The following is an 18,114-nucleotide window of genomic DNA, read 5'->3' on the forward strand; positions in this document are numbered from 1 at the left end:
CAGGTGTGGAGGACATTAGAATCCTTACTGCCGTTTTCCTGTCCCTGGAGCTGGGCCATCCAAGAAGTATGTTAAGAGAGCTGGTACAGACCCACCTCTGAGTAGAGCAGGAAGCGTGGGACAGATGCTGGTCACACCAGGGCCCCTAGGCGCCTACCTTTCATTTCTAATCTCGTGGAGTGTGGTAGGAAGCACATGGGACTTAGCTAGGTGTTCTTGGCCAAGCAACAACCTCTCCAAAGCCAATTTTACTTCTGCAAAAGTGGAGCAATCTCAAGGGTCAAAATGGGGGACAGAATGTAGAAACATTCTATAAACTTTGCATATCTAATGGAACCCAGCATGGATACTCTTTACTAAGAATTTGCCTCTGTGATTAGGTAAATTTTAATTTTCTCCCAACAGTGCCCTAACCGGCGAAATGAAAATGCTAACTATATTTTAGAAAAGTTTTAATTTGAACAACTTATGATTAAAAATACATTTTATAAATAATTTTTCCATAGACTTGATTGAGGATTGTTGCAAACTTTACAAAAAGATACACTGCAACAACAGATTAAAGAAATTACAAAAAATATAGCTATACCCCTATTTAAAAATACAACATTATACATCACACAGCATTTTCTTTGTGCAAAATGTTTAAGGGAATGCTGTGTTAGGCATGTCAAGCATATTTGCTTAGAGGGAAGTAAACTTTAATACAGTTACTTTGCATAATAGTATAGGCATAGCTAAAATAATGGATTTTTCCCCCTAGAAGTTAATATATCTTAGAGTTCAACATTTTACTTTTATTTTGTAGGATTGAAAGCTAAACTTAGCTTTATACAAATATATGTGTGTGTGTGTGTGTGTGTGTGTGTGTATATATATATATGTATGAAAACAACTATCTGATTTCACATTGAACAAATCCCCAACGTATTTACAGTATTTTCAGAGAATGTGTTCTCCAAATCAGTCTGTGTACATTTTCTCTATTAAACAACTCTTTAGAAAATTAAACTAAGCCAACATCTGTTGATTAATGGACATCCTCTGTTGAGACTTCCAGTTTTCGCTGTGGGACAAAGAGAGTTCCTAAGGAGGTTTTATTAGCACCCTCAAAATCCATGCAGGATGAGCTGGTTGGCTTGGTGGGTCCACCTGGGGTACGGAAGAAACTTTCGGCCACTAATTGTGACCCTTTGGGTGTCACAGGAACAGGCTGATTGGAAAGAGAAGAATGGACAAAAGAAGTCAACCACACACAGGTACATAGTCTTACCAGACTTGGAAGATTGGGCTGGATGAATGTATTGCACATTGGGAAACTGGCGTATCTTGAAATTGGCGAGGGAAGCTTTGGTGAGTTTTACATTCTCAATTATTTTTGTTAGGGGAGAGACAAAAATCTCATGATAACCCAACAATATGGATGCCTTGGACACTCTTCCTGGGTTCTGGAAGAAACATAGGCCTTCAATCTCCTGACTTTCCCATCCTTTCCCTCTCCAAAGAGGAAAAGCAAAAGCCAATCTCTTATGACACAGATACTTGGGGCTTAGTAATTCCAGGAAAAATTAAATTAAGTAGAAAGCCTCTCACCTGTTGTGCCCCTGTCACAGCAACTGATTGTCCATTTGGCTGGCTCTGGCCTGGGACTGGTGAGTCATAGTTGGTGGCCCTTCCTTGCTGAGTGCCTGCATTTTCTGGTGCGACATTAACAGACTCTATTCTTGGAGACACAGGAACGATTCCAGACCCAGGGCTGGCAGACAACTGCACATTGGGTGAGATGAGTCCCAGGTGCTGCAGGGTGAAGTTTACAATGGCTGAGCTTGGGTTCTGGATGGGAACAGGGTGGCTTGAAGCGAGAGCCGGGCTGTTCCCGACAGGTACGGCTGCCACGGAAGTTGGTGAGACCATTAGCTTCAACGGTGTTACATGAAAAGAGGGAAAATTAACAGCAGTGAGTTCAGATGATGTCACTGGAATAACACCTGGAAGGAAAAGGGGGAAGATATCTTAAAAGCACAGGCATTTATCCAAGAAGTTGACAAGGCTTAAGTGAACTTGAGACCGGCCCACATCTGGTTAGTGTTTTATGTGCACTCACCTGCAATTGGGGAGCTGTAAATCCTGTGGTTTGGGGAAAGAGCACTTGAGTTTTCTTTACCAGACAAAATGGACTCTGCCCCCAGGGATGAGCACTGCGTGAGAGGGATTAGGTATCCTGATGGGAACAAGGTCTAGAAAACAAGGAGGAAGGGTTTATTTTACACACAAATACAGGAAGAAAAATGGCCACGTGCCTCTTTCAGGACTAATATCCCTTGGTGGTTGCCTCATTGGACCAAAGCCTCCAGCGGAGTGGGCTGCAGGCAGGCTGGTCACCTGGCTCCTAGAGGAGAATACCCTCCCACCCTTCCCAATGCTTGCCCCGAATAATGCAGAACATGTTTCTTAAATGCCACCTGTGGTCTTAGGACACCTTTGGATGATGGCACTGACCCTGCTTAGGGGTAAGGATTCATCCAGCACACCACTCTTAAACTGATAACTTAACTCTTGCTACTGGACTCCTTGGTATGATGTAGTAGTAATTGATTGTTCTTGAATTATGTAGAACGGTATTTCCCAAAGGGCATTCTGAGGGACCTGAGGTCCATGGGTTGCAAACAGGCATTACCTGATTCTTGGTCAAATATAATTGGAAAATACTGAATTAAACAAAGTCAAATGGTGTCTTTATTAGAGAATTTCCAAGAGATTTTAATGGTGGCATGCCTTAAAATTCTCCAAGTGGGGCACACAGCAGGTAGCATTTCCCAAACTATTTGGCAACTATATTTTCAGTAGGCAATTAAGGAGGACTAGTATTCTAAGGAAACACTTTAAATGACATTGATTTAGAGAAAGGGGGCTAAACTATTGGCCATGTGCCAATTCCCACTCCCTGCCTGTTTTTATAAATAAAGTTTCATTGGAACACAATCATACTCATTCATTTATGTACTGCCTATAGCAACTTTCCTGCTACAATGGCAGAGTTGACTAGGTGCAACAGAGCCCATATGGCCTTAAAACCCAAAAAATGTCTACTATCTGGCCCTTTAAAGAACGTTTGCTGGCCCCTGATTTAAAACAGAAATTATATAAGTAAAGATTTCTTTCTAGTACTGCTTGCTCTAATGATAACAAGCAGTCTTAAAATACGCAAAGTACACCAGAGTTAAAAAAATTACAAATAAGAGAACTGATTAATTCATATTAGAGACGCACATGCCATTGAGCAAAAGCTTTAGGCAATAAAGTTATATTGCAACTAGAAAAGGCCCAAGGGTAGGGTTGCATGTACCTCCCAACATGCCTATTAGATCACTGTACTTTCCCAAACAGAAAAAGTTTACACGGGTGCCTGAACTGCATGAAAAGTCTGCTTTAGCCTTACCATGAGCGGGACTGGCAAAAGCTAAAAACCGCTCTTATAAACTAGGGACCTCCTTTTTTCTTCCTTCAGACCTTTCTTCTCTCCATTGTCAAAACAAGTTTAATCTAGTTGTTAATAGGTCTTTTCCTTGGGAACCAGGAAATTCAGAATCCACAAAGCTAAAAGTATACTACAAGCTTTTAATTTTGTTTCTTAAGTACTTGGTCCCACTCAAAATCTCTACTAGTAGGTGCCTTGAAAACTGCAGGAAGAGAGAATTTTTAAGGGGCAAATTTAGGTGCTTTATGAAGACCTGCGCTCTATTAGCTTTAGTTATATTCTCTCATGGTACAAATTATTCTGACTGCTGGTTTAACTCTTTCAAGTCTTCAGTAAAACCCACAATAATAGAATAATAATTTTTAAATTTCCAACAAACTATATTCATTATAGAATCTTTTAACCTATGCCAATTCCCTTTTTTATAAAATAATTAGAACTATTAAATTGCCGAATGAATCTGACATATTTGAACTTGAACTCTTCTAGCCTACAGTAGCCCTTCCACCCCTTCCTCCTATCATGTCATCTTCATTCCTATCATTCACTACCTGATATGTTTGTGTTTACTTGCATACTTATCTTCTTTCCACCCCTAGAAGTATAAATTCTCAGTAAAAATTTGTTGAATGAATTAACACATGACTCTCTCATTGTCTTTGTTTTGCTCAGGCCATACTAAAACGAAATGGTTAAAGTGGGCTGGGCATGACGGCAAATGCCTGTGATCTCAGCACTTTGGGAAGCCAAGGCAGGCAGACTGCTTGAGCTCAGGAGTTCGAGACCAGGCTGAGCAACATGGTGAAACCCCGTCTCCACAAAAAATAAAAAATTAGCCGGGCATGGCAGCACACCTGTAGTCTAAGTTACTTGGGAGACTGAGGTGGGAGGATCACTTAAGCCTTGGAGGTCGAGGCTGCAGTGAGCTAAAATCATGCCACTGCACTCCATTCTGGGTGACAGAGTAAGACCCTGTCTCAAAAGAAAAAAGAAATGGTTAGAGTTGCAGAGATATAAAAAAGAAGCAGGAGTATATGGAAAATCTATCCACTGAAAATCCTAATCCTGAATAACTATGTAAGCAACAGGAGACCATTATTAAATCATACCCATTGGCCAAAAGAAGTTATGGACCTTCCAGAATATTGAAACCTTATGATTTCCCACTTGGCATATACATTAAATACAAAAGGATACTATGTAAGATAATAGATGTTTTGAATGGTTACCATGAGGCCATCCTCAGGGAAGATTTGACAAACTCTAAGCTTCCTCTTTAATAACAACGTAACAGATAATACCTTTCAGCTTATAACACGTCTTAAAAGGATCAAACCCTTTTATGTGTATCATCATGGAATAAATTCACTTAACCCCACAAAAACTATCATATGCCCACAGGCAAGTACCCAAAAGCAATTGCCACCAAAGGCAGGTGCTGGGTTAGATTTGATCCAGAGCACAGTGCTTTATATCCAGTAGGTGATGAGGAAAAACTGGTGGAATAAATTCTTTACCGATGCGGAAAAATAAGACAGAGAGAAGTAAAATAGCTTGTATTAAGAGCAGGGGCAAAATGAGAGATTAACTTTTACTTGCACATTTAGTGGTATTTATCGGATGATACAGTAATGTCTCTCATATATAATTGTCCTAAGGGAGGAAAATGAGATACTGTATGTAAAAGTGACTAATATCTATTATGTCTGCTATATGTGGGTAGGCATCCAATAAATATTAATTCCCTCCGGAACTAATCTCCACTTAGGAAAAAAATTTGTCTAGCATGTCAAAATCTCTAGAAACCAATACATGAACTATATCTACAATTTGCCAAGATCAGTTTGATTTTTCTATTTACATGAAATAGAAATTTTGATTTAAATTTTAGGTAGAAAGTAAAAACGGGGAGCAATTTATCTTCTAGGCAACAGATGCCAGTTACATGACAACAAACAAACATTAGGTAATGACTCAGAAAGCAGGAGTTACAGGAACCCTATGCATCCACACGTTCATTTGGGGTTACGTCTGCTTGTAAATTATTTAAGACTTTCATGACAGCTGTTTGCATTCCAGTGTGTGATGGAGAAATGGACTTAAGGACAACCACCCATGGTACTTTAAAAAGACAGCAAATAATCCCTTCCTCCAAAGGTTAAAAATGTCCCTGCCTTCATCCCAGCCAGGGGATTAGCTGTTGAGGGCCTCACTTGGATTATGGGATGCTAAGGAACAGTTCCTTGTCTTCTGAGAGAATGCTCTTCGGTAAATTTCACAAGCCACCAATCTTCCTGTAATAGACTAGGGAATTCCTAAAGCTTTGTGCAGTTCAAGGCTGTACTTACTGCGGAGACATTTTCAAGTCCTTTTAGGTCCTCTTTAAATTTCTTTTTGGAACCACTGTCCTCGAGCATGCTTGCCCTCTTTGAGCCTCTTTCTCCAGCTGGCTCCCTGGTTCGGCTCTTTGCCCCTTGCCTCTCTGGTGCTGGCAGCAAGCTTCCAGGCCTGGTAGAGGCACTGGCCTTTGAGGTATCATTGGCTGCCTTCTCAGTGGTGGCATCTGTGGAGTCTTTTGAGCCAGTAGCTTTAGAAGAGTGGGTGGTGCACACCGTTGGGCTCAGGCCTTGGGGTGGCGTCACACTTTGGTGGGCTTGAGTGGGCTGCAGGTAGATGGCATAGGATGGGCCTGAAGGGGCCTGAGGTAGGATCAGGGGCACTGCTGATGACAAGGGGCTGGGGATCAGGGGAACCATTCCCAGGGGCTGGATGAGGGACGGTGCTGTCAGCTCCATCTCAGCATTCACTGGGGGGTCCAGAGGGGCTACTGGTTTGCAGGGTCCAGATCTTGCCAGCTGTACTTTCACTTTCTGTCTGGATTCACTGAAAGACAAGATTTAATACACGACATGATGGATATACATTTTTTCTGAACTGTTCTACCGCTTTAAGCCTCATATTGAAGCCACGCTTTTATGGAACATGCAGATAATTTCTGTAATGAGTGAGTATGAGATACAGAAAAGATTAGCTCTCCAGTTCAAGGCTAGGGCTTCTTCTCACATAAAATAAGTAATCCTAACAATGTAATGTAAAAGTAATTCATCCTGTTATTAAAGAGGATTGCCAACCTACCTTGATTGCTCTTCTAACTGCATTTTACAAATAGCTGCGAGCTGAGCCATTTTACTTGGGAAGGGTGCAGAATTCTGAGAACTCTCAGCTGGTAAAATAGAAAGGAAGAGAGCACCGGTCAAAGCTAAAGAACAAATGTTCACACAGATGAAACCTCACTGAAGTCAGAGGAACAGAAAGTGTGCACCTCCCCTCAAAGTTGCATAGCGATTAAACAATAAACCCCACAAATGACTTTTTAAATTTATACATTAGTTAGGCTTCAAGAGGGTTTGGGTATATAGATATTGAAATAATTCTCTGACAACTATTGCAAGGATCAAGTAAGCTGAAAAAATGAGATAAAAGGGAATTCTTCCTAGCAGATCCCTGACATTCCTGAAAACATACCTTTGTTGGTCTTGATAGGGCTACTGGGCGCAGAATTTATCTTTCTCCGATCACTTTCTATACTCTTTACCAATTTGATAAGAGATGGGTGTCGAGTAAAGTTTGGTTTCCCACGTGTGGAAAAGAGGTTTTTGGCACAGTTCTCTTTTGAAGACCGTCTCACCTCCAAATCAGAGGGAGTAAAATGAATGACTGGGCTGGAGCCTGAAACAGAAAACGTCTGTGTATTAAAACCTGGATGGCTCAGTTGGCTTTTGGGATATGAAATAAAACAATTTTAGGAATAAAAGTGGCAAGTTACAGAGCACCGACCATGTGCCTGTCACTGTTCTAAGGGCTTTACAGAGAAAGCCTTGTTTATCTTATTAAATGGATTCTGAGACACAATATTTCCTACATTAGCATTTCTGAAACTGCACTATATCTTATAACCAGTGGTGTGCTAGAGTGTAGTTATTAGTGATTTTTCTTTCTTAGTGATATAGAAAGAATTGTGCATCTTACAATCAGTGAAGTCTTAGATCTGATGAAATATGGGTGATCCTCACAGCTCCATGAGGTAACTGTTCCTCAAGAAATGCAGCCCTGTGTCGGAGATGAGAGCTCTGACCCACACAGACATTAACCTACTGGCTCAAGGTCTCTCAACTGGGAGCATGTGGGCCTGGGATATGAACCTGGTCAATATGGCCCCGGAATTTTCACTCCAAATTCCTGCACGAAAGGACCTCTCTCTGAGATTATACCAAAATCACAGTAACTCCACTGAGGTGCCATTGTTCTTCCCATTTCACCAAGGAGAAAACTAATCCTCGAAGAAGTAGCTTGTCTCAGGCCGCAAAGCCAGAGTGGCAGGGCTTGGAATGGAACCTAAGTTTCCCTCTGTCTTCATGGCCCACGTTCTTGTCATTTTCAATGATTCTGGGTGGGGATCTTTGGTAGAATGCAAAATGTCAGCATCGCAGAGTTAAGATGAAGGCTAGAAATATCTACTTTGATACCAGAGTGAACTCATTTCATATTCTCAATGGGCACAGGTTCTGTTGTGGTCACTGTGCCGCATAGCAGCAATAGTGTTTTATGCTTTGTGGTGCTTTCAACTTTCCGAATGCTTTCACATACAGATTGTACTTCTTGAACACAGGGTGGGAGGTTGTTATGGATCTTGGTTAGCTGATGGAGCCAGTAGCCAAACTTTCTATATTGCCATTCATCTTGAATCATCTTTTCAATCATATATATCTTTTCCATGTGGGGCGGTGAGTAGGAAGGGGAAGGGAAAATATCTCCCAATGTGCATTAATTCAAAATAATAAAGCAGGATAAAGAAAATGTGGTACATATACACCATGGAATACTATGCAGCCATAAAAAGAAATGAGATCATGTCCTCTGTGGGACACGGATGGAGCTGGAAGCCATCATCCTCAGCAAACTAACATAGGAATAGAAAATCAAACACTGCATGTTCTCACTCGTAAGTGGGAGTTGAACAATGAGAACACATGGACACAGGGAGGGGAACAACACACACTGGAAATTAAAAATTAGAAAAACACACACACAAATAATAAAGCAGAGGGTGAAAGAAAAAAATACATACCACTGGTATTTGGACTGATTTCTGGGCCGGTCCATTTGAAAGCTGGTTTTCGGCCTCTTTCCTCTGTAACATGAACTTTCTTGATAAGATCCAGGCTACTCAGAACATTAGCTATATCATACAACCTCCTAATTTTTGCTGGGAAAAAAAGTATATATACCACTTAATGGAATAATGAAAAGATCAAAGAATTTTCCTTCAGAAGGACTTCATGTATATTCTAAGAGCTGTCTTAACCATCAATGTCAGACAGAGAAACATCTGCCTCCTTTTAAGTTCTTCTGGTGATACAACTTTAATTAAGATAAAAAAGTTTTAAATATTTAAAAGACTCAATTACTGCTAGTACTCAATGTTGAAATGACAATAGCATACGTTGACAAAGGAAAAACGACTTGATGAGATCACCCTATCTGAAACTATGTTACAGACTGTTTCAAAAATAAAGTCACCATTCCTGGGTATCTTCTAATGAGGATTCAGAAGAATTTTATGAGCAGAGAAGTAAAAGTATCTGTGATAAATGTCTTGCTTTTCTGCTTGTAATAGCTTATAACAAAATTTATTTACTATGGCAGCATGGAAAATTCTGTACTCCATCAACATGTGTAATTTTTTAATACTGTCTATGTAACATGCAAAACATAGATCTGTGAACTTGACAAACCTCACATATCTTAAAGAGTTTTGTTACAAAAAGTCTGTTTTTTACTGCCATCTTGATAGTACAAATTACAAATCGAGTCTCCTTCCTAGCCATATCAGAAGGTTCTGAATTCCCTGGGGATTCAGTAACTTACACCTCTGCAGTTCCTGGAATAGTTTTCAAGGCTATGACTAACCAGTGAAACAAAGATGAAAACTATCCGGTGACTCACAAAAGGCAAGTAACCCCTCAGTAGTATCAGGACGTGTTTTCTGAAATTGCAGATCTCCCGATCTCCCGAGCCAAGTGCTCCTCCCCATCCGCTGAGCACTTCTTTCCACACCCTTCCTGCAAAGTCTGGTGTAATGGTGAGGGCATAGCTCTTTTGTTAGGAATCCAATCTACAGTCCCTTCCCAATTTTGAGCAGGTAATCTAGCTAAAACCATTCTTTCAAAATGGCAGACTACCTGTGCTGCAGGTCACTTCTGGGGACAATTTTATGAGTCATTTATAAACCCTCTGTAATCAGCATCAGTGGAAGGAGACCAGGGTGCAGACCCACTTTACAATTTACTCTCATTTAGAGCTCACACAGAACAGATTCTTCTAGTGTTTCCTTTTTTTTGAGACAGAGTCTTGCTCTGTCCCCCAGGCTGGAGTGCAGTGGCGCGATCTCGGCTCACTGCAAGCGCCGCCTCCCAGGTTCACGCCATTCTCCTGCCTCAGCCTCCTGAGTAACTGGGACTACAGGTGCACGCCACCACGCCCGGCTAATTTTTTTGTATTTTTAGTAGAGACGGGGTTTCACTGTGTTAGCCAGGTTGGTCTGGATCTCCTGACCTCATGATCCGCCCTCCTCGGCCTCCCAAAGTGCTGAGATTACAGGCTTCAGCCACCGCGCCTGGCCGTGTTTACTTTTGAGAACAATGTTACAATATCAAATGAAGCAATGTGTCAAATAAGAGTAGTGATACTTGGCCAGGCGCAGTGGCTCAGGCCTGTAATTTTGGGAGGCCTCCCAAAATTTGGGAGGCCGAGGTGGGTGGATCACGAGGTCAAGAGATCGAGATCCTCCTGGCCAACATGGTGAAACCCCGTCTCCACTAAAAATATAAAAATTAGCCGGGTGTGGTGGCGCGCAACTGTAATCCCAGCTACTCCGGAGACTGAGGCAGGAGAATTGCTGGAACCCGGGAGGCAGATGTTGCAGTGAGCCTAGATCTCGCCACTGCACTCCAGCCTAGCAAAAGAGCTAGACTCCGTCTAAAAAAAAAAAAAAAAAAAAAGAGTAGTGATACTTATGTATCATAACAAGTTAGCTAAATCAATATTATCATGGCTTCTGGGGAGAAGATATAAAAACATAATTAGAGAAGATCTGTTTATGCACCTATGTTTCCTAATTTGGAAATGAGTTTACGACTGAGATTTTATTGTTTAAGAATAGGTTCAAAAATCCATGGCAGTCATGACACTTACTTTTAAACTTGCTTTTATCCAAATCTTCCACATGGTCCTCCCCAATTAAAATCTTGGCAGCAACTTCTAGGCTTACTATCTGAGGCGTTGACACCAAAAACAGCATCACAAATTTCTGGCTCATTACCCTTAAAGACTTGTCTTTGCGGCTGTTTACAGAAGCTTTAGAGAAGGATGAGGATTAGAGAATTAAAATTCATAAAGGGACAAGTGACTTCTAAAGTAACAAGGCTAAAAATACTACCACCTGATCATACAGCTGACAACTGTGGCATCTGAACATTAAAGGCAGCAGTAGCTTTAGAGCTGTGTTCTCCACAGAACCTTTTCCTTAGACAGAGGACAAATGCCATGCCGCCTGGAGTTTTCACTACCATCTCTCACCTGCCCGAAATTCCACTCCAGGGAGTTCCACAAAACACATGTCTGGGTGTCCATTTGGGCCAGTGTTTGATTTGATGATATGATCCTCTATACTGTAACTCTTAATAAAGTCAAACTCTTGCTCATATTCTTTCTTTTTGATCATCATAATCTGCTCGGCGTACTTATTCTCCTCCCCGATGCTCTTCAAGGTGCCAAGGGTTTTGTTGAGATTGTGTCGCCCGTGCCAAGTGTACCTGTTTTTGGCGAGGCGGCTCACCATATGTAAACTCTCTAGGACGTTCACGATATCGTAAATGCGTCGACGTTCAACATCTACAAAGAATGTGCAATTGTGTGTTACAGATTTTTGTAACGTGTTTAGAATTGAATAGCTTTTTCTTCCATTGGTTTATTAGTCAGTAGGTCTTGGATAATATCACTTTCCTAACTGTAAGTGAACATACTCAACAAATACTGTGAAGGTGAGAAAGACATGTGCTTGCTTTCCAAGGGCACAAATCATATGAATTAGAAAGGCAACATTTAATGAGGGCCTAAGTTGTGCTACACAGCTTTAGGAAGTTTTCACCCTAAACTTGTGAAGTAGGTATTATGATCTGCACTTTAAAAAGGATGAGAAAGGCCGGGTGCGGTGGCTCACACCTGTAATCCCAGCACCTTGGGAGGCCGAGGAGGGCGGATCACGAGGTCAGGAGATGGAGACCATCCTGGCTAACATGGTGAAACCCAGTCTCTACTAAAAATACAAAAAAATTAGCCGGGTGTGGTGGCGGGTGCCTGTAGTCCCAGCTACTCAGGAGGCTGAGGCAGGAGAATGGTGTGAACCCGGGAGGCGGAGCTTGCAGTGAGCCTAGATCGCGCCACAGCACTCCAGCCTGGGCGAAAGAGCGAGACTCCGTCTCAAAAACAAACAAACAAACAAAAAAAAAAAACGATGAGAAAACAGAGGCTCAGACCAGCTAAGTAGCTCACCCCAAAAGAGCTAGCAAGTAGCAAACCAAGTCTTTAAAACTCTACATCTCACACCTTCCAACCGCTTCCAATACAAACACGTACACACACGCCCATCTGTAATGATCATAAGATAGAAACAAAATGCTGAGATTTCAGAAAAGTACAAAAACCATGATGTAGTTTTTAAAAACTTACATAAAAATAAAATATGCCTTTTTGGGTCTAATTTTGCTTACTTTCTAGCTATCATTAACAATATGATATTAGTAATTCTGTGACTCTATCTATTTAAATTGGGTTTTCAATATTCTGTAATGTTAGAATTCTCTTCGTTCAAGAAACTTAATTTCAATTTAAATATTTGATGAGATCAGCCTTTCTGGAAAAGTGATCAATAAAACACTATTTTAATAAGGGTGCATCCTACCGACCTCTTGCTGTCCCTGGAACCTGCCAGATATGCACTTGCTTTGTACCGGCTGTTCCTTCTGCCTGGAACCCTTCTCCCTGATGTCCTTACAGCTCCCTACCTTGCTTCTTTCAAGTCCTTGCCCAGATGTCACCTTCTCAACGAAGCCTGATCTGACCACTTATGGCAAAGCACCTCCCCAGCACTCCTGATCCCTTGATCCTGATCTACAATTTATTTTTTCCACTATGCATGTTACCTTCTAGCATGTATTATCCTTACTTACTTCCTATATCCTTTACTCAGTATCTATTGCCCCACTAGAATATAGGTTCTAAGAGAGAAGAGATTTTGCCCTTTTTGTTTACGGATGTATCCCAGGCTCCTACAACATTGCCTGACACATAGTAGTAGAAGATTAATAGATATTTGCTGAATATCCTACCCAGCTACCATTAAGCATATATGAAAAGTAGATGAATCTAAACGGTATATTCTTAAAATGTGAAATAAAGTTGATATTTACAAACATGTATTAGAAGGGCAACTTTTCTTCACGGGGTGATTGCTTTGTATTAAAATGTATTATCTTGCACAGCACATCACTTCACAGGTTTAAATTAAGATACCCACATGACTCCAAAGGTACCCCAAATTCACCACGGGCCCCTTTTTAGCTCCAAATAGATTCAGGTCTTTGAACAGAGTAAAAAGGGGCAGGAGGAATAACTTGTGCCCAACACAAAACATTCAGAAAACTAGTCCTCAGAATAGTGCTGAAGGTCCAGGAGTGCACAGGTCCTGTTCCCACTCACAGAAGCTGATCCTCAGCGTCAACTAGGAAGATAACCATTTATCAGCCTGATTCTTCAAGAACAGCAAGGGAGAGCAATGAAGCAAAAGTTCACAGTTGTAACTTTGTGAAACAAGTCATGAGACAATATTGCCTTTCTTTAAAGCTTCAGAGACAACTGTAGTCAGAAGCAACCTCCATTGTGACTTTTCTGCCTCCAAGATTTGCTGAAATTTGCAACTACTTACCTTCATTCTTATATTAGAAGAGGGCTTTAGAGATAGAAAATTTCCATGCCGGCTTATTTGTGTCATTTACAAACACTGGCTAGATGAGCGGGGGTCTGAAGGAGTTAAGTCCATAAAGCCACTTTAATTATTAATTCTTTCAGTGAGTTCTTTGCATACTTACTAAGTTCCTCTGCCACTTCGTCAAGGCAGATGTCATTATTCACAGCAGGGTTGGGATAATTAGGATATCGTGCTAAGAACTTATGACACAATAATCCTAAACTTTTCTCTTTTCGACTTGGTTGGGATTTCTCAAATTCATCTCCAGATAAGTGTTCCTACAAAGGAAAAGGTAAACAATGTCTTATTCTAAAATAAAGTCTGACAGATTTATTAGGGGCATCTGTGCTCGATGACTGACACCAACTTACACACGCTTAGCTTCAACAGCTGCAAAGTCTGGATGGGAGAAAAGGTTAGGGGGGCCAGTACAAAATGCTTGGCAAACCTGAAAGGAAAGCCTGAAACGAAAATAACGCAAAGGTTCAGAATTCCCAGAGCTATATTTCTTGGGGTCCAAACCTTTCTGGTGCTCCGAAGGAAGTTAATAACAGCCTTCGGGTGGTGATGCTTTAAATTGCTGGCACTTCTCTAATAGCTACAACCTCCCCCCTCCCCCCAACAAATTCCCCAGCCTCCAACCAGTCCTCTGAAAACCTACGTGTATACAGTCTTTGGCCTCAGGTAATCCACTTCTGTTGTCAAACAAACCCCTTTTCTGATCTCTGTTGCGGATCTCAGGGCTCACAGCACTGATGAGCATTTTCAGGTTGGCTGTCGGTGTCCACGGCTCTCCCTGAGAGCCTTCCTTGGGCTTGGTAGGTGTGGTTAAAGGGCCAAAGTCAGGCTGGATCTCTGCCAACACGATATTTGCTGTGGTGGATTCTTTCAGAGGTGTTTTCATTAGTCCCCTTTTATGTGGCTCACAAAAGAGATTTTCCTGGTTTAAAAAATGTAAATAATTAAATCCATGGTAAAACAGGATTTATCAGACAGCTTGGATTCTAGAAATTGCATAACGAATAGAATCATGCCAAGGAAAAAATGTCTAATGAGATTGTAGAGTTGAGGAAATTAATAACTGTATTCTAATGGTCATGTGATGTGTATTGTCAATTCTAATAATTACATTTCCCATTTTTAATTTTGCAATAAGCCATAAATGTTTTCACCTTATGTTTCAACCACTGAAAAAACAACTTTAGTTAGGACTTATAATTTTAATTGTATTTTGAAATAGTTTTAGATTTAGAGAAGAGAAGCAAAGACAGTATAGAGTTCCCAAATGCCCTTCACTCAGCTTCCCCTAATTGGACTGACAATGTTAAATGATCAAACTTCTAGAAATGACTTTTGTTTACTCATGGCACTGTAATAAGTAAAGGCCTACAGGGCAGAAATTCTTATCCACCTAGCATAATGGCTGCATGCAGTGGGTGCTAAATAAAATACCACTGAAGAGTCAGAGAGACAAGGAGACAAGAGTGAGGGATAGCATATGGTCAGATTTATCAGGGAAATCTAGAGTGTCCAACAGCAGGATTTCTGACCAGAAAAGTCTGCTCTTTGAACATCCACTCCCTCATTTTACAGATAGAGAAAATGGGGCCCAGAGAAGTAAAATGATTAGGTTGGTGCAAAAGTAATTGTGGCTTTTGCTACTGAAAGTAATGGCAAAAACAGCAATTATGTTTGCATCAACCTAACAGCTACCTAAGACCACAAAGCTAGATCCTGGCAGAAGCAGGATAGCCACTGAGACAAAAGGGTAAATTAACAGCAGTTCATAAATAAGGCTAATGGAGACTATGTTCCTTCCAGTTTTGGACACCAGGGACTTCACACACTACTCCCATCTTTATCTATTTTAAAGAAAATGCTTGGAACAGCAATAAGTAAAATAATAGGCAGACCAAATAACTTTAAGAACATGGACAAATGGGACATGTTGTGACATCTTGGGTTTATCAAGTGCATTTCCGTTTGTATGTTCATGGAATCCTGCATTCTTAGCTCGCAGAAGAGAAGATGCAGGCTGAGAGAGGTCACGTAGGAGTGGAACACAGATATTTTCACTCCAAGTATGGTGCTCTTCTTACATGGAAGTCAGTATGGTGGACCCAACAGGAGCTCCTTGCCAGTGTGTGCATCTGAGATGTACTGATCTGACAATAGGCTTTTTCTTTGCCTCAGATTATCAGAAGCAATAGTAATTCTCTTATTTGACTAACATCTAAAACTATTAGGAAATATGCATGTAAGTTCACTTTTTTAAACCTATTAGTAGTTGGACACCCCCCACAGACAATTCTTTTGTAATTTTACAAAATGTTTGCCCCCTAAACAGAGCATTTTGCAGACCCCATAAATAAGCTGCCAATTTGGTAAAAAATTATCTTAAAAAGAAATTCAGTCTCCAAACATGTCAAATGCCCTTTCTGAATTCCAAGTTGTTCAAGAATCCTCAGAAATGTTGTAATGAAACTAACGAATTTTTGAAGAGGGGTAGGTTTGCCCCTTTACACTCTTTCTAGTTTTTAATGATTTGGTAGCTGTCTCAGACATAAAGAGAGAAAAGGTATTTTTAAGAATAATAAAATTTGTTAGTTTCATTACAACATTTCTGAGGATTCTTGAACAACTGGAATTCAGAAAGGGCATTTGACATGATTGGAGACTGAATTTCTTTTTAAGATAATTTTCATTTTTTAAACTATATTAATTAAATTAGTATATATTTTAAACTATATATTTTTGAAACTATAAGATAAGGTTCATTTTTTCCAGGTCTTTACAGAGGCTAACCAAGGTTGTGGCATTAAGAAAACACATTGGATAGGGAAAAATTATGGAGTTAAATCAGGATGATACTGAATTTAAAATTGCAATGATGAATACTGAAGTTATAAAGTACCTTTTCGTTCTCCATTCTGTAAATTCCTCATACATTTAGAGTTTAAAAATGAAAAATCTGGAGTTCCTCCCCAAATCCCGATGGTTCAAGTAGTCCAATCAATTGTACTAAAAGTTTTAATATCCTTAAAGAAAAAAGGAAATAGAAAAAGTTAGAGAAAAACAAGAACCAAAAGATCTGTTGAAAATTCCTTCACGGACAAGAGGCTACGGAAACAAAGCCTAACGAAAAATGACAAACTAGATTTACATTTTATTCTCGACCAGAGATCGCCCCACTGAGCGGAGAACGCCAACAAATGCCAGTAAATTCCTTCAGCAAACGGATCGGCGGTCCTAAGACTTCAAGCAACCCACGGAATTTCTAGTGACAGCCCTCTCCCATCTGTAGAAAAGGCGAGCCATTCTCCGGACCCCAGCGAATACTTTAGGAAGCACCCACCTGTTCGCAGATCAGGGCTCCGGACTAAGCGCACGAGCCCAGGTCCCAGCTGAGCGCACGCGACCCCAAGTAACTGGGTACAAGTCTGCATCTAGATGCCTGGATTTCTCCCCTTACACACACGTGCACAGGCTCAGCAGTAAAGTCGTGGGAGGTCGCTTGACAGGAAAGTTCCAAATTCAGTCCCAAAGCTCCAAGTATGCAGTTGGGCATTTAAAGAGTCTTATAATTAAGACTTTTTTTTTAAATTTAAAAAAGGGCTTCCTTAAAGATACAAAGCACTATTTACTCCCTGTTCGGGTGGCCAGTTCACACCACGGCGTTAGACTCCACCTTGGAAGGCTGTATTTGCCCAATAAGGCAAGCAGGTACTGTCCCCCGGCCGCCACTCGCTCAGTGCACTTCCCCCAACTTTCGGCCAAAGGCCCCTCCCCCAGGCCCTGTCCGCCCGCCGCAGTCCCGACAGTTCCCGGACAGCATCATCGTGGTTTCCAGGACAACAATTCCCGACCAATCAGAGGGCCGGAAGCGGGCCTGCGATTGGCCGACGGCGCCAGGGGCGGGGCCGGACCTTCCGCCTTCGATTTAAAAATTTGGCGCGGAAAGTCGGACCGTGGCCGGCGCCTCCCCTTAGCTGCGCGGGGCCTGAGCGCGGGCAAACCCGCGCCCGGAACCACGGCAACCCCGCCCCTCCCCCTCGTTCGCCCCCGCCCCTCTGCGCGGGAGCTCAGCTCCTCCCTCACGGCCCCCGGCGAAGCGGGAGGCGGGAAACGGCCGCCGCCGCCGCCGCCGCCACCCTCCCGAGCCCTCTCCCGGTGCCGTGTCGCCCGGGCGCCGCGCCCCTCTGCGTCCCGCTGACCTGTCAGTCCACCTCACGGCGGGAGCCGGCGGGGGCTGAGCCGGGACTCGTCAGCACCGCTGCCCCTCTCAGGCCCGGGAGCCCGCGTACCTGGCAGTCAGTCTTTCCGCAGCGCCGAGGTGGGTGCCGGAGAGAGACGCCGGGACCGGGACTGGCGGGCCGGCTGGCGGGCAGAGGGAGCGTGACCGTCCAGGAGCAGCCAAGCCCCCGATTTGAAATTAACCCGCTCCCGGCGCGAGCCGATACCGCGGGCGGGGAGGGCCGCTCCCCTCCCCCACGCCCGCTCGCCCCGGCCCCGGCCCCCGAGCGCCAATCCGAGCCTCCCGACCGTAGCC

General features: G+C 42.3%; 1 protein-coding gene and 1 long non-coding RNA gene across 10 annotated transcripts in view, besides 2 other annotated features; one reads left to right on the top strand and one right to left on the bottom strand.

Annotated features, from left to right (window-relative positions):
* The window catches only part of CSRP3-AS1 (CSRP3 and E2F8 antisense RNA 1), a 116,546-nt gene that overhangs the window by 26,915 nt on the left and 71,517 nt on the right, over positions 1-18,114 (top strand). For 2 of the 3 annotated variants that reach the window (NR_183672.1, NR_183673.1), the window contains exon 1: positions 17,638-17,898. The exons of the other annotated variant lie outside the window; for it this stretch is intronic. This is a non-coding gene — a long non-coding RNA (CSRP3 and E2F8 antisense RNA 1). Of the gene's footprint in view, positions 1-17,637; positions 17,899-18,114 lie in introns of those variants that run through there. 3 annotated transcript variants of the gene reach the window in all.
* On the bottom strand, positions 436-18,028 carry E2F8 (E2F transcription factor 8). Of its 7 annotated transcripts, none has more exons than NM_001256372.1 (13): positions 17,870-18,028; positions 16,480-16,603; positions 14,227-14,505; positions 13,687-13,843; positions 11,117-11,431; positions 10,733-10,894; positions 8,607-8,744; positions 7,004-7,207; positions 6,614-6,701; positions 5,827-6,361; positions 2,105-2,237; positions 1,594-1,988; positions 436-1,213 (listed from the first exon to the last, which is right to left on the bottom strand). In NM_001256372.1, exons 2-13 carry the CDS (start codon positions 16,492-16,494, stop codon positions 1,031-1,033), a joined length of 2,604 nt encoding a protein of 867 aa, NP_001243301.1. In that variant the 5' UTR covers positions 16,495-16,603; positions 17,870-18,028; the 3' UTR covers positions 436-1,030. The 7 variants fall into 7 exon arrangements, with proteins under 7 accessions (NP_001243301.1, NP_001243300.1, NP_078956.2 ...); NM_001256371.2 differs by having other exon boundaries at positions 17,780-17,993; NM_024680.4 differs by lacking the exon at positions 17,870-18,028 and adding an exon at positions 16,921-17,318.
* Positions 8,692-9,891: an enhancer, noted in NCBI's record as "MED14-independent group 3 enhancer chr11:19253866-19255065 (GRCh37/hg19 assembly coordinates)". NCBI's record gives its function as "activates an origin of replication core promoter dependent on BRD2, BRD4, P300/CBP and CDK7 cofactors, and independent of MED14, by STARR-seq in HCT116 cells {active_cell/tissue: HCT116}" and the evidence as "EXISTENCE:reporter gene assay evidence [ECO:0000049][PMID:35650434]".
* Positions 17,388-18,087: a silencer, noted in NCBI's record as "silent region_3198". NCBI's record gives its function as "represses an Ori minimal core promoter by ATAC-STARR-seq in GM12878 lymphoblastoid cells {active_cell/tissue: GM12878}" and the evidence as "EXISTENCE:reporter gene assay evidence [ECO:0000049][PMID:35858748]".

The sequence above is a fragment of the Homo sapiens genome, chromosome 11, assembly GCF_000001405.40.
Source record: "Homo sapiens chromosome 11, GRCh38.p14 Primary Assembly".
Taxonomy (NCBI): Eukaryota; Metazoa; Chordata; class Mammalia; order Primates; family Hominidae; genus Homo; species Homo sapiens.

Coding starts and splice junctions, on each gene's coding strand:
- E2F8 (NM_001256372.1), bottom strand. Junction 6,702..7,003: donor CCCTATCAAGACCAACAAAG/GTATGTTTTCAG, acceptor CTATTTTACCAG/CTGAGAGTTCTCAGAATTCT. Junction 2,238..5,826: donor GACTTGAAAATGTCTCCGCA/GTAAGTACAGCC, acceptor CTTGTTTTCTAG/ACCTTGTTCCCATCAGGATA.